Below are 15,545 nucleotides of genomic sequence, written 5' to 3'. Positions count from 1 at the left end.
ATCCTATTAGAGTCCTGGGGGAAAAGGGGCAAATCGTTCTGACAGTGTTGGAAGCCGTAACCACCTTTGAGATTCACTGTGCACACTGATATATCAAAACCTATTTAACTTTATTTAACCCTAATCAATCATCTCCTACACTTATTTAACTTATTTAGCCCTGCTTCCACAACATTTACTAGCATCCTACAGAATGCTACATCATACACTGTGAGAAGTACTGAGTTTAGGAATAAAAGGTTTCATCTGAAACTTCCTCTGAACCTCATTCAAAGGAGTCATCCAGGCACTTTGGTCCCTACTTTCTCCTCCTGAGCCAAGGAGGTATGTGGTCTGAATTGACCAACCCAATTCTAGCTACATTCTTGTAGCTAGCCTAAAGAATGAAAATAGGGCAGGGAGGGAATAGTGGCAGAACCTTCTCTTAAACAGTTTTCATAATGCAAGCTTAAGGCATTCCCCTTTGCTAAAAAAGTTTTAAAGAGTTCTTGCCTGCAAGTAGTCCTCTACATGCTATGAAGTTACTTGGATGGTTTCAGATGCAGAAAGAAGGGAATGTTCCTACCATGCAGGAGGGAAAGTTGACATAAGTTAGCGCTGACACAGTGTCCTGAGTTGAATATTTATTGGCTCCATCCGGTTACCCACTATCACTAATCTTGGATCAGGCCCTACCCTAGGCCTACAGCTTCCTTTTCATACAGGACTGTCCTCAGGGAAGCCCTAGTTTTCCTGGCTTTTTTTTTTTTTTTTTTTTTGAGGCAGAGTCGCTGCGTCACCCAGGCTGGAGTGCAGCGGCGCGATCTCGGCTCACTGCAAGCTCCGCCTCCGGGGTTCACACCATTCTCCTGCCTCAGCCTCCCAAATAGCTGGGACTACAGGGGCCCGCCACCACGCCCGGCTAATTTTTTTGTATTTTTAGTAGAGACGGGGTTTCACCGTGTGTTAGCCAGGATGGTCTCAATCTCCTGACCTCGTGATCTGCCAGCCTTGGCCTCCCAAAGTGCTGGGATTACAGGTGTGAGCCACCATGCCCAGCCCTTTCCCGGCCTTTTATAATGATTGGGATCTTCCCAGGTTTTCACAGAGGCAGTCTGCTTATGGCCTGTGGTCTTCTCAAAGTCCTTCAAACATTTACTTACTGCTCCTCCAGGAGCTACTCTTTTGTTTTGGCTTTAGACCCCTGATTCAGCAAAGCCTCACCGTATTTAGTTATGAGCATGTAGATACACACACACATACACACACACACACACACACACACACACACACACACACACACGCTCCCAGGAGGTTGAGACCACATGGTATGGTTGAGACCACAAATCAAAGAGTGAAATTAATTTTACCACACGTTAGTTATATGGAAGCTTTAGTTTCTTCATCTGTAAAATGGAGGTAATTCTGTCTACCTTAGTTTCTTCATCTGTAAAATAGAGATAATTCCATCTACTTTGCAAGTTTGTCATAAGAATCAGAGGTCATCTGGCTGGGTGCAGTGGGTCACACCTGTAATCCCAGGACTTCGGGAGGCCGAGGCATGCGGATTACGAGGTCAGGAGTTCGAGACCAGCCTGGCCAACATGGTGAAACCCCGTCTCTACTAAAAATACAAAAAATTAGCTGGGTGTGGTGGCACACGCCTGTAGTGCCAGCTACTCAGGAGGCTGAGGCAGAAGAATCACTTGAACCTGGGAGGCAGAGGTTGCAGTGAGCCGAGATTGTGCCACTGCACTACAGCCTGGGTGACAGAGCGAGACTCTGTCTCAAAAAAAAAAAAAAAAAAGAATCAGAGGTCATCTAAGTTAAGTTCCTTCTCTCTAGTATACTGCAGTTGCTTGATAAATAGTAGGTATTATCATCATTGTCACCCTGTTTAGCTTCTCTTTTTTTTTTTTTTTTTGGCAGTTGCACTGGCAAAAAATAATGTCTAGCTCATAAAATAGCATTATTCTCACTTTCCTCTCTGCACAGATACCTACTTTTCTTTCCCTGCCATCTTGATTACTGAGCTGTTGCTAAAAAGAAAACATGGCCCTCTGATCCACAGATGAAAAGCCCTGCTACTTGACCAGATGTTCATGAGAGAATCCTTTGATTTTTAATTTATTTATTCATTTATTTATTTAGCGTTGGTCTCTGTGCTCCCAGCACAACAGCTGTAGGTAAAGTGCTGCGGGTCACATGCATCCCAGCCAGCTCCCTTGACAGTCCTTGTCAAATTTAAGGCATGTTGCCTCTGTGCAGAGCACTCAGGGGCAAGGGGCTTGCTCCAAGCTCCCAGACCCCGACGACAAGGATGGGAATGGGTGGATCAGGCAGCAGCGAATGCCAGGCAAAGGCCAAAGTCAAGCTTTTTGGCACCACCTTCCACCTGACAGCAGAAAAGCAGGGTCAAAAGTCTGATTTGGGGCACGCATTCCAAAGCCAAATCCGTGTTGTTTCAGCTTAAAAGGCTCCAGTTTCAAATGGAACCATTTTCATAACTTGAAGCAGTAGTCACTTAAAAATCCTCTTTCTACTTTGCACACATGCACATAATTTATATTAAATCCAGTGGGAATTAGGCAAGTTCAGTGAGGGATAATTAGACACCTTAATGAGGAAATGTATAGTTTCTGTAACTGTCATTTATTAAGCTTTTATGTACTACTTCATATTTTGAAAGCACTGCACAGCCATTAATTAGGATATTTCCGCAGCCCCATAGGAGCAAGGTCAATAAACAGAGTTCTGTTTCTCTTGGAAATGTTGTTTCTCAAGTCTTTTATGACCTGAGTGCAAACTCCTAACCTTTGAAGAAACTGGCAGATTGTCTTATAAGCTCATATCAATATGATGATTATATTTAACATCCTAAACAGACTCATTAGCTGCTTAAGAATATAATTTAAGCTCATAATTTTCCATACAGTGGATTTTCTTTCCTTTATTATTATTTGTTTTCTTCCTGTGGATGTATCTCTTAGCTGCCACTTGGAATAACCTCAAGAGATCTCCTAAGCATGCAGGCTGTGACACTATAAGCCACCTATTTTCAGAACACTGAGAAGGCTATGGGCCTGGAAATGTTTGCAAATATTGCAAATATTTCAAGTTGTCCAGTACATTTCACACTCACGGGAATTTTGAAGATTATTTGAATAATCAGTGGATTACAAAGAAAAATGATTTACTAGGTTTGGACATTAATTATCCATTAATAATTCCCACTACAGCACTGGTGGATACTCTTCCACTGTACCAGATGCCATTTAAATCTTTAAAGTGGCATCCACTTTAAAGATGCCATTTTTCTTGCTTTTGTTGTTGTTGTTGTTGTTTTTAAGACAGAGTCTCGCTGTGTTGCCCAGGCGGGAGTACAGTGGGGCCATCTTGGCTCACCACAACATCCGCCTCCCAGGTTCAAGCAATTCTTCTGCCTCAGCCTCCTAAGTAACTGTGATTACAGGCACCCACCACCACATCTGGCTAATTTTTGTATTTTTAGTAGAGACAGGGTTTTGCCGTATTGACCAGGCTGGTCTCGAACTCCTGACCTCAGGTGATCCACCCTCCTCTGCCTCTCAAAGTGCTGGGATCACAGGCGTGAGCCACCGCACCTGGCCCCCATTTTCTTTTTTGTTCCTCACAATCACCTTGGAGTTAATGTGGGATTGTCACTATATTACAAATAAGGATCTGAGGCTTAGAAACACAGTGACTTTTTTCAAGAATCATATTGATATTAAGCAGTGATATCAGGACTCAGAGCCAAGAGTGTGTTTTCCAAGTCCACTGCAGTTTTTTCTTTTTCCTTCCCCTTCTGGGATAGCTACAAAAAAAAAAAAAAAGAAGAAGCGTGTGTTCCCAGAATTCATTCTGCTGTGTCACTCTGAGGATGTGAGGATATTGGTTATAGGAATAACCTGTGGTAGGCTGGGCACGGTGGCTCACACCTGTAATTGCAACACTTGGGGAGGCCGAGGCAGGTGGATCATGAGGTCAGGAGTTCGAGAGCAGCCTGGCCAACATAGTGTAACCCTGTCTCTACTAAAAATACAAAAAATTAGCTGGGTGTGGTGGTGGGCACCTATAATCCCAGCTACTCGGGAGGCTGAGGCAGGAGAATCGCTAGAACCCGGGAGGCAGAGGTTGCAGTGAGCCGAGATCACGCCATTGCACTCCTGCCTGAGCGACAGTGCAAGACTCCGTCTCAAAAAAAAAAAAAAAAAAAAAAGGAAAAAGGAAATAACCTGTGGATAATTATAGATTTATGAGCAAAGACAAATGTTTTCACCCATGCTAGACAACTTTATGCAGCCTTTCTAAAATTTTCTTTTTTGGGAGAAGAGGGGGACATGGGTCATTACCTTTTGAGGTCTGCAGTTCAGATGTGGTGGACAGTATTTGCTACCTGCTAGATATTCAGCAACCCATTCCTTTGAAATCACTGTCCTAGAGAGAGAAGCCTGTCTGGTTTGACCTTTGTTCTTCCTGTCTCTCACTTATATAACCTTTTTTATCCTTAAGTTTCAGTGTAGACATCATTCATTTCAAGATGCCCTTCCCCTAATGCTTCCCCTGAGACACAGTCAGTTTACCTGTACCCCAGCTCCCATAGTTCTTCCCCACCTCCCATTTATCACAGTGCTTTGCATTTTTGTGATTACCTGTTTCCCTTCCCTATCAGGCCTTGCTCCCTGAGAACAAGGACTGTGTTTTAAAAACTTCCAAGTCCCCAGTTAACTAATGAATAGAACCAAAGCAGGTGCTCAAATAAAAAAATTTTGAAATGAATCATAGACGAAATGACTTCTGAATGCAGGACCTATGAGGATGTGAGGATATTGGTTATAGGAATAACCTGTGGTAGGCTGGGCACGGTGGCTCACACCTGTAATTGCAACACTTGGGGAGGCCGAGGCGGGTGGATCATGAGGTCAGGAGTTCGAGAGCAGCCTGGCCAACATAGTGTAACCCTGTCTCTACTAAAAATACAAAAAATTAGCTGGGTGTGGTGGTTTACACCTGTGTTCCCAGCACTTTGGGAGGCCAAGGTGGGCGGATCACTTGAGTTCAGGAATTCGAGACCAGCCTGGCTAACATGGTGAAACCCCTTCTCTCTTAAAAATACAAAAAACATTAGCCAGGCCTGGTGGCGCACACCTGTGGTCCTACTTACTCAGGAGGCTGAGGCACAAGAATGGCTTAAACCTGGGAGGCGGAGGGTGCAGTGAGCTGAGATCGTGCCACTCACTGCACTCCAGCCTGGGCAGCAGAGTAAGACTCTGTCTCAAAAAAAAAAAAAAAAAACACACAACAAAAGCAGACAGAGTCCCCTCTGGTTTGGCATGCCAAGAGCAGCTTGCCTATGGCCCAGCTGTGGTGTCTGGGAGCCCTGATTCCCAGAAGCCCACATGAGCCTGTGTCAGCCGAGCACACGTGTGACATTCATGTTTAAGAGGAAGCATGGTCTTTAAAAATGTCTAGGTACAAAGAAGAGCCACCCATGGGTTCTGCTGGCACAGGAAGCACAGGGTCTTTATTAGTTCTAATGTTCTAAGATAAACAGGGCAGTAAGAAGCAGTTGCCAGCACTGTGACATCGGAAACATCACCTCCATCCTCAGCACCTCGGTTCCCACATCGATGCAAACTTAGCAGTAAGGTCTAACCAGCCCCCCTTTCTAAGAATGTTGTGAGATTAGAGGAGGCTCAGGAAGCTGAGAGTGAAATTCATAAGCTTTGTGACATGTTTGCTCATGAATGTTTTTGTCTGCTTTGGATTCTGATTCTTGGTTGAATCGGGGTACAGAGAGTGGTATATTTAGTAAACGTTCTGGAATTCCAAAGAGAAAAGCAGCCTGAGAATCAGCTCATCAAATTCACAGAGGCAGAGGTTGCGGTTGTTTTATGGCAGAGTGCCAGTTTTCCTGGATGAAGTGGTCTGATGAAAGAAAAGAAAATTAAATTATGGCGAGAACCAGATGGTCTGGCCACAACCAAGGGGTTATAGCTTGTTCTGAAGACCACCCTGAAATACTGGAGGCCTTTGATCTTGTGAAATGGCAGGATAAATGACAGCAACATTTTAGCTTGGTTTTTTTTGTTTGGTTGGTTGGTTGGTTGGTTGGTTGGTTGGTTGGTTGGTTGGTTTTTGAGACTGAGTCTCATTCTGTCACCCTGGCTGGAGTACAGTGATGCAGTCGCGGCTCACTGCAACCTGTGCTTCCCAGGTTCAAGTGATTCTCCTGCCTCAGCCTCCCAAGTAACTGGGACTATAGGCACACACCACCATGCCCGGCTCATTTTGGTATTTTTAGTAGAGACAGGGTTTCTCCATGTTGGCCAGGCTGGTCTCAAACTCCTGACCTCAGGTGATCCGCCAGCCTCAGCCTCCCAAAGTGCTGGGATTACAGGCATGAGCCACCGCACCCAGCTAGTTTGGCTTTTCTAAAACAGATTCTGTTGTAGTCACTCTCTTGCTCTACATCCTTGTCTGGCTTTCAGTTGTCCTCAGTAGGACTTCCCAACCACTGTGTCACACATGGGTGACAAGTGCCAACAAAATCATCTCCTGGGCCTTGGGGATACTTTGGTAGGGCCTGGGGCCTCTGAAACCCTTGGATCAGCCTTTCCAGCCATAAGCAGCTTAACTCCCAGTGGGTTTTAAGAATAGCATTTTCTCTGTAGGAAACGGCATAAACATGGTTGGAACGCACCTGTGTTGCATAGATACGAGGCTCTTCCTGATTTATTGCCTGTGCGTGTGTTCAGGCGTCTGTCCTGGCATTTGCCTAAGCCTGCTATTGAAACTGTCTGGCCATGATACACTCTAGTTCTTGCGTAGCCCAGTCTTGTCATGCATCTCCTGCCTCTGTGCCTTTGTCCATGGTGTTTCCTCAGACAGCTTCCCCAACTGCCTGACCAAGTCCTAGCCCAGGCCACCCAGGCCTCCCTCCTGTGAGCTCTCTTCATAAGCACTGCATGATCTCAGTGTTTGCAGTCATCACATTGAATCCTAATGATGTACGTGTCTTATGTGTGTTTCCACAAAAGGGCCTGGCAAAGAATGAATGTTACACCTCCAGTAAATATATGCTGAGTTAATATGTTGAATAAAGCCCATGAGATTGGCCAGGCGTGGTGGCTCACACCTGTAAAATCCCAGCATTTTGGGAGGCTGAGGTGGGTGGATCACCTGAGGTCAGGAGTTTGAGACCAGCCTGGCCAACATGGCGAAACCCCATCTCTATTAAAAATACAAAAAATCAGCCAGGCGTGGTGGTGTGTGCCTGTAGTTCCAGTTACTTGGGATGCTGAGGCAGGAGAATTGCTTGAACCTGGGAGGCAGAGGTTACAGTGAGCCGAGATCGTGCCATTGCACTCCAGCCTGGGCAGCAGAGCAAGACTCTGTCTAAAAAAATAAAAAAATTTAAAAAGCCCATGAGATTGGTGAAAGTAGTGAAGCAAAATAAGTACAAGTCTATTTCTGTGAATTCACACATAGTAGCTACTCAGTAAATAACTGTTGAATGAATGAATAAAAGAAATGTAAAAGGTGTTTTAAATTTAGAATCTGTGGACTCAGTAATGGCTGACTGTAAGAGAAATGGAAGATGGAGTAGTTGAAGATGTTTCAAGACAAGGAGCGCCTTCAACACGGCAATCCCGGTCCAACTTTGGAAGCTGCACCCTAGCTAAGCTCTCGAGACATGAATCAAGATTAGGATATTTATTGCAGCATTGTTCATAATGGCAAAAACATAGTAAACAACCAAAATGTCCTTCAGGAGAGGAATGGATAAATAAATTATGGTATAGGTATAAAATGGATGATGTGATTACAGTGACTAAACTAGATAGGAAATACTAACATAGTTAAATCTTAAAGACATAACAGTGGGTGAAAAGGCAAGTTAGAATAGGAAATACGCAATCCAAAACACACTAAAAATACCATGTGTTATTATGTGCATAGAGGATAAAAATATAAAAACAAGCCTAGGAATAAAACACAGACCCCTGGGAATACTGGCTGCCTTTGAGGAAGAGAGGAGGTAGAATGAGATGAACTTTAGATTTATCTGTAATGCTTTAATTTTTTAACAGTAAATGTGGCAAGGTATTATAACAACCATTATATCTAGGTGGTGGGTATTCATTATATTAGTTTGTGTGCTTTTCTATTGTTTTGAAATAGTTCATAATTTTAAAAATTAAAGTCACGCAAAAGAAAAGACTGGCTAACAGGGAGGATGATCCTGCATCTCTGCATTTAGTCATCTGTTTTAGACATTCCGACTTTTCAGGCAACCTGGCAAATCACATCTGCCAAGTCTCACACCATTTAAAAGCATCAGTTCTCAGCTTGGTCACCAGAGACTCATAGGTTTATCCTGGACCTCTCTAGAGGCTTCAAAAATGTGCATTAATATATTTCATCATTGTTTCTAGTTTCCCACCATCCCCCCCCCCATTTTTTAATACATTGGAGCATCTATCCAACCTAATTATAATTCATTTTTGTAATAAGATTAATGAAATTCTTTCTTTCTTTTTTTTTTTTTTTTTTTTGAGACAGAGTCTCACTCTGTTACCCCCACTGGAGGACAGTGGTGCAATCTCAGCTCACCGCATCCTCCGTCTCCTGGGTTCAAGCTATTCTTGTGCCTCAGCCTCAGGAGTAGCTGGGACTACAGGCGTGCACCACCACACCCGGCTAGTTTTTTTGTATTTTTAGTAGAGGTGGGGTTTCGCCATGTTGGCGGGGCTGGTCTTGGACTCCTGACTTCAGATGATCTGTGCACCTTGGCCTCCCAAAGTGCTGAGATTACAGGCATGAGCCACCACACCTGCCCGCCCTTTTTTTGTTTTTTGTTTTTTGTTTTTTGTTTTTTGAGATGGAGTCTTGCTCAGTTACCTAGGCTGGAGTACAGTGGCACAATCTCGGCTCACTGCAACCTCCGCCTCCTGGATTCAAGCACTTCTCCTGCCTCAGCCTCCTGAGTAGCTGGGATTACAAGCACACACCACAATGCCTAGCTAATTTTTTTGTATTTTTAGTAGAGACGGGGTTTCACCATGTTGGCCAGGCTGGTCTTGAACTCCTGACCTCAAGTGATCCACCCACCTTGGCCTCCCAAAGTGCTGGGGTCACAGGTGTGAGCCACCATGCCCGGCTTCATTCATATTTTTGACTGGAATATATTTTCTTAAATCAGTCACCAGTGACTTACATCACTATATTCTCTTGGTTTGTAACTTTGTAAATGTTTCTTTTCTTTCTACCCCCCCCAACATTGTTTATCTGAGTAAAACAATCAGATAATACATTTATGGCGAACAATTTCCACTGTGTACCTTCCTCCCCAACTCCATATTCAGTGATATGATATTGCTAGCTTGAAATTAGCCATGATGGGAGTGTTTACACCTTGGCAATTGGCAAATGCTACAAATCCGGCCGTTTTTTTCCCCCAGAGAGCTGATGGTTAAACATTACCAGCCTACCACAAGAGTGCGCAACAGTTTTCTGAGCTGTGCAGGGCAAGTAGCATTTTTCTCATTTAACACTCATAGAAACTGAGAGTCAACAAAAGACAGATCTTGACCTGAGTCCCATGGCTCCAAAGTGACATTGCTGGGGCTCTAGTCTATGTGGTTGAGTGGAAGAAGCACTGGCCTTGGAATCACGCAGATCTGAGTTTGAATCTGACATAGCTACTTTTGAACAGTGAATTGACAAGTGTCCGATTTAGCCCCTCAGTTTCCTCACCTATAAAATAAGGATAACAAAATCTATCTTGTAGAGATCTCAGGGAGCATTAGGGGAAATGATACGTGATGTGCAAAAACCCTAACAAAGCACAAAGGACCTATGCAGCAGATCTAATTTGTCCTTCAGACTTACAAGTTCAGATCTCTGTGTATTAACCCAATCTTCCCATAGCCATATAGATACTATTTTTTTTCCAACTCCACCTGGCCAAACACCTTTCACTAAATGGTGAATATATCTTTTCTCCAAATATGTGCCACTGGAATAAGTAAAGAGGCTTAGAGTTGACATTTGTATGTGATTTGGGGAAATCAGTTTCTTTCCTAGAGTCTTGGAAATGCAGGTGCTAGGTTTCAACTAAGATCATTTTTCAACTGCCTTGAGTCTTCCCCACTGACCATTCTGCTGAGCTAAGCATCCTGAAGAGGATTGATTTGGGGGCCTCTGGGTGCTACAGTTCCACCCACCAAATTGACTGCAGTGGCCTGCAGGGAAATTCTCTCGGCTTTTTGTGTTCCGTGCTCAGGGCTTTTTCTGCTTGCTCTAACTGACCTGATGGTAGATAGTTGCTTCTCAGCCATTCAGCTAAGCCTAAGTGTATTTTTCTTTTTTAGATTTTAACTGATGTATTTATTTTTTGCCTGAATAATATGTTTAGTTGTTTTAGCTTTTTTTTTTTTTTTTTTTTTTTTTTTGAGACGGTGTCCTGCGCTGTCGTCCAGGCTGGAGTGCCGTGGCACGATCTCAGCTCACTGCAACCTCCACCTCCCAGGTTCGAGTGATTCTCCTGCCTCAGCCTCCCAAGTAACTGGGATCACAGGCATGCACCACCACACCCAGCTAATTTTGCATTTTTAGTAGAGATGGGGTTTCACCATGTTGGCCAGGCTAATCTGACCTCAGGTGATCCACCCACCTCCCCTCCCAAAGTGCTGGGTTTACAGGCATGAACCACCACCACACCCGGCTGTTGTTTTAGCGTTTTAAAAAACACAAAAGGATATAGACAAGGGGAGTTTCCCTCCCTAAACAACCCTCCATTCACCCAGGTCCCTTCCGCAGAAAGTAACCAAGAAAAGATACCAAGGAAGAGGAACCACCTCTTATTATTAGTTTCTTATGAGCTCACAGGCTTCTGGAGCTCACCTTAAAGACCCAGCGTGGATGGGCCAAAAAGACCCTCTTGAAATCAGGAAGACTGAGACAGGCCCATATGGCTTGTCAGTAATCATCAAGCAAATTGGCAAAGCCATACCCAGAATAAAGTCACAGAGGAGCTGCTTTTGTGTGTACGGATAAATGGTATACATCGTACAAATTCCACCTATCAGCTCAACCTAGGTAGGTGGTCATATCTCTGGGGAAAAACACAGGAGAGAACCTAATGTCTATAAGGAATGTGCTCTGTATCCAGTGCAGAGCTAGAATCTTTTTTTTCATTATTGTGGTGAGATATACATAACATAAATTTACCGTGTTAACCATGTTTAAACGTACAGTTGAGCGGCATGAAGTCCATTCACATTGTTGTGCGGCCACCACCACTGTCCATCTCCATACAATGCTAGGCTCTCCCTGCCCTCATCACTTACTCCTTCCAACAGTCCTTTGAGGCCTGTATGACCAGTCTCCATACAACAAGGAGGTCTCAGAGAGATGGTTTCATGTCTCCTATCGAGTAACTGGCAGGTCCTAGGCTTGAACCCAGGTGTATTCGTCTCCAAAACAGGTGCCCCATACTGTGGAGCCTCATTGGAAGAATTTTTAGAGGGAAGACTCATCTGCAGCAGTGCATAGGCCTCTTGTCTGCATAAGACAATCATCCCCGAGAGACTGTGGCTGTGATGTGAGTAGGTGTGCCTAGCTCTCCATCTTTTTTATTTTTTAATTTTCTCTTTTATCCTGTGCTGTTGCCCAGGGGTGATCCTGTTACTTCTGGATAAGCTGCGGAAGATGAAATGGGAGCAGATGTGGAGGCTGACCGCAGAGAGGGAGCTCATGGGCATGCTCTCTACATCCTTAGCTGACCAGGTGAGTGGCCAGGTTCGAAGGTGCAGCTATTCCTGAGTGTGCTTGGTGCTGTTTCTCAAAGAAACTTAAAATTAAATCGATCTGAATGGTTTTCTACGTATTGTGTGACTCTGTGTGCTCTGATACAGCTGCCTTATTCTTGCCAGTCTAAGACAACAGCTCAACTCCTTAGTGCCTTCCCTTTGTTCATTCATTTGTTCATTCGGCAGACTTTCACTGAGTACTGTGTATACCAGGAGCCAAGTTCAGAAAAAGGATGACAGAGATAGACGAAGGATGCAGCACTTGCCCTCATAGAGCTTAGCGTCTACTGACGCAGACTCATAAGTAGATGTCGGTGCCCTCTTCATCACCAGGTGGAGTGCACAGGGCCTGCTCTCTGGGACCCCAGAATGCCACAGCATATTTCCCAGGCAAGGTTTCACTGGCCTCCCTGGCAAATAGAGTCTAACCTTTAATCTGAGCCTTTTGCTTAGATGCTGTCCTAGTGTCCCTTTACTCAAGGGAAATGCACTTAAATAGAAAGAATAAACTGCAAGAAAACCACCTTGCTATGCAGGCAGCCTCAGAAACTCCTTGAACTCTACCAAACTGTTAGCAAATATTCATTTTTATTATTTTATTTTATTTTTGAGGTGGAGTCTCGCTCTGTCACCCAGGCTGGAATGCAGTGGTACAGTCTCGGCTCACGGCAACCTCCGCCTCCTGGGTTCAAGCAATTCTCCTGCCTCAGCCTCCCAAGTCGCTAGGATTACAGGCGTGCAGCACCACACCAGGCTAATTTTTGTATTTTTAGTAGAGATGGGGTTTCTCCACGTTGGCCAGGCTGGTTTTGAACTCCTGACCTCAGATGATCCGCCTGCCTCAGCCTCCCAAAGTGCTGGGATTACAGGCATGAGTCTCTGCACCCAGCCAACAAATAGTCATTTTTTAAAAACCTATTCCTCATTTTGACGTCCTAGGAAAGGCAGAGGGCTCCAGTCTGACTTTGAGTCTACCAGGATCACTCATTTAAATTTTCATCTTCCTGTGGCACTGGTAGCTGTCTTCAGGCACGAAGATGATTTCTCTGAGTTTTCTGCATTTCACCCTTTCCTTTTCATCCAAAGAGCCAGCTCACTCTGCATGTTTTTGTTCAAAGTGCAATTTCCTGGTTCGTCGAATGCCTGCAAAGTTTCATAATACGGAGGAAACAAGAAACCCTGCATGATTACTTTACTATTTTTTAAAGTATTATTATTCAGTATTTCCCAAGCAGCCAGAAACTGATTTCCTTTTTCAAACATGAGATAGAGTATAATGAATGAGTTTAAGAAAAAAAATAATACCCAGGTAGCTGTTTTAAACCTGAGGGGAAAATCGTCCACCAGCCTCATATTTCAAGTCGGGTCACAGTGACTTGAGCATGTCCCCCAAAGCTAGCAATTGTATGCCCATGTCCAGTAAGGATAGTTTATTCAGCCATCTTCTGCCACGAAGGCCCATAATTCACCTCCCGGCGCCACCTGTCAGCAGCTAGTTAATAAGTATGGCCTGGTGCAACAGCTTGGAGAAGAGCCCAAAAAAGGTAAAACCTCCCTAGACAAGTCAGGGTTGGATTTTGAAACGGGGAGTGCGTATCCTGGGCACCATGGGCTGCAGAAATCCAAGGAGCATCCATCACTGAGTCCACCGCAGGCCCCAGGAAGCACTGCTGAAAGGGAGGATCTGTAATTTGTCTCAGTCCCTGAATGAGTGGGGCTACTTGTCATCATGCAGTTTCCTCTCCAGGAGGCTCAGGATGGGTAACACAGGGCTCCTGCCTAGGAGGCCAGAGGGGAAGGAGACTTCGTTTTTCATATGCCAGTGAGGGTAGGGAAGACACCCCATGTCTGCACATGTGAGCTCACTGGATAGGGCCTTATGAGACCAGCAGGACTCTGGAGCTTCCAGTCAGCCTGGGACATTCCCCCGTCTCTATCCAAACATTATTGCTTGGTTCCTAGAGATAACAGGCAAGAGAGATGCCTCACAGTGCGAGCCAGCCTGTGTTCAGAGCAGGAGGTTCAAGAGAAGCCCTATCACAGGGGATGCAGTGCCTTGAGAGCCAAAATGGGCAGCTGGACCATCCGACTGTCTTGACTGTGTCTTTGGCTTTCATCCCCCAGGATATTTTCAATGCCGTCATCAAACAAAACCCCTTCCTTGTGTACCAGCTCCCCTGCTTCTGGAATGTGCAGCTGTCAGACCACACCCGCTCCGAGCAGTGCTACAGAGACGTGTCTGATCTAAAGGTAGGGTCAACACAGGGACATCCCTGGAGGTAGGGTGAGGTGGGCCGAGAGGACCTCCCAGGGGCATGGATGGCTGGGAGATTTATGTGCAATGTGGTGAGAGAGATAAGGGCACAGGAGAGCAGAATGAGTATGCTTTTCATCTTTGTGGGGTGTTGGTTTTTTTCCACCCTTATTTGGGCTTTCTGGAAAGCCTAAAGCCTCCTGGCGTAAGAACCAGCTTGTGTGGTTATTATTCTTGCCATCTGCTGCTGGCTCTTTTGGTTCATGCCAGCTCCCCAAATCTATTCATTCAACTCAAGCAAAAACATTTATTGAGGGCCTACTCTGTGCCAGGTGCTATAGATGTGGATGTGAATAATTAACCTGCTTCCAAGTCATGTATGACTTGGAGGAGGAGAGAAATGTGCAAAGAAGTAAGTATTTAAAAAAGGACAAAGTGCTATGACAGGTGTGGGTGGGTCAGTCGGGGAGATGCAAGCATAAATGTCTCATTCTTCCTCACAGAGGGCGGACAATGACAGAAAAAGCTTTCATCACCACTCTGTAGGTACCAAACACTGTGAATGAACCTGGCTATAGAAAGAGGAAGAAGACAGGGTATATTAGTCATCTACTGCTATAGATAATGCTGCATAACAAGCTATTCTGATAGTGGCCTAAATCAGCAACCATTTATATAGTTGATGAGTTTGTAGGCTGGTTGGATGGTTCATTTTTTTACTGGTTTAACAGAGTATTTGTGGTCAGCTTCAGATGGGACAGCTGGTGACTGGGGCAACTTAGATGTCCTCTGTCCCCTCAGCAAGCCAGTATGGTGTTTTCTCATGGTGAGGCAGAGGTGGCAGAGGAAGCCCTAATACACAAGAGGAAACCTTGAGTCATTGTTGCTAATATCCCTCATTGGCCAAAGTAACTGTATGACTAAGCCCGTATGATTACTTTGAGTAAGGAGTGTGAGTTAAGGAGTGTGTTAGAATTCCCTCCCTACAGTGGAAGGAGTAAAGAATTGACCACAACTATTCAACAGAACGAAGATTTCAACACAGGCCTGTCTGACAGCAAGGGCTTTTGCCTCTCAGGTTGTATCACAGAGGATTAGATACATGCATCCTTAAAGAATTTGTTCCATATAAAGTTTATATCCATTGCAAGTTTTAAAAAGGAAAAAGGATTGCAAAGCTAGCTTTTCTAATAAATTAGTCTTTTGTACTTGGCTTCTGATCCATGTCCCCATGTGGGTATTATGTCTTATTTGTAGTCATAACGCATGTTAAATGTGGTTTTCTGCTTTTCATTTGTTGCATATCATAAGCATTTTCTGGGTGAGCCACATGGTGTTAATGAACATCATATCCAATAGTTAGTCTGTTACCTAGCCACTCCCTTGACCTTAGTTGTTTTCAAATTTTCATAAATATAAATTATATCTTAATTAACAGCTTTGTCCATGAAGCCCTTCCATCCAATATTGTTGTA

At 44.5% G+C, this 15,545-nt stretch overlaps 1 protein-coding gene across 26 annotated transcripts in view; it reads left to right on the top strand.

The window, feature by feature from the left end:
* Positions 1 to 15,545, top strand: part of LARGE1 (LARGE xylosyl- and glucuronyltransferase 1) — an 856,162-nt gene that overhangs the window by 526,840 nt on the left and 313,777 nt on the right. For all 26 annotated transcript variants that reach the window (XR_007067993.1, XR_002958722.2, XR_007067994.1 and 23 more), the window contains 2 exons: positions 11,681 to 11,793; positions 13,941 to 14,066. Coding sequence is in view for 23 of the 26 variants with exons in the window: in XM_024452302.2 (XP_024308070.1) it covers positions 11,681 to 11,793; positions 13,941 to 14,066 (239 nt within the window). In the remaining 3 variants the exon portion in view is untranslated. The remainder of the gene's footprint in view (positions 1 to 11,680; positions 11,794 to 13,940; positions 14,067 to 15,545) is intronic.

This window comes from Homo sapiens, chromosome 22 (assembly GCF_000001405.40).
Source record: "Homo sapiens chromosome 22, GRCh38.p14 Primary Assembly".
NCBI classification, from domain to species: domain Eukaryota; kingdom Metazoa; phylum Chordata; class Mammalia; order Primates; family Hominidae; genus Homo; species Homo sapiens.
This window is presented reverse-complemented; position numbering and strand designations above follow the sequence as displayed.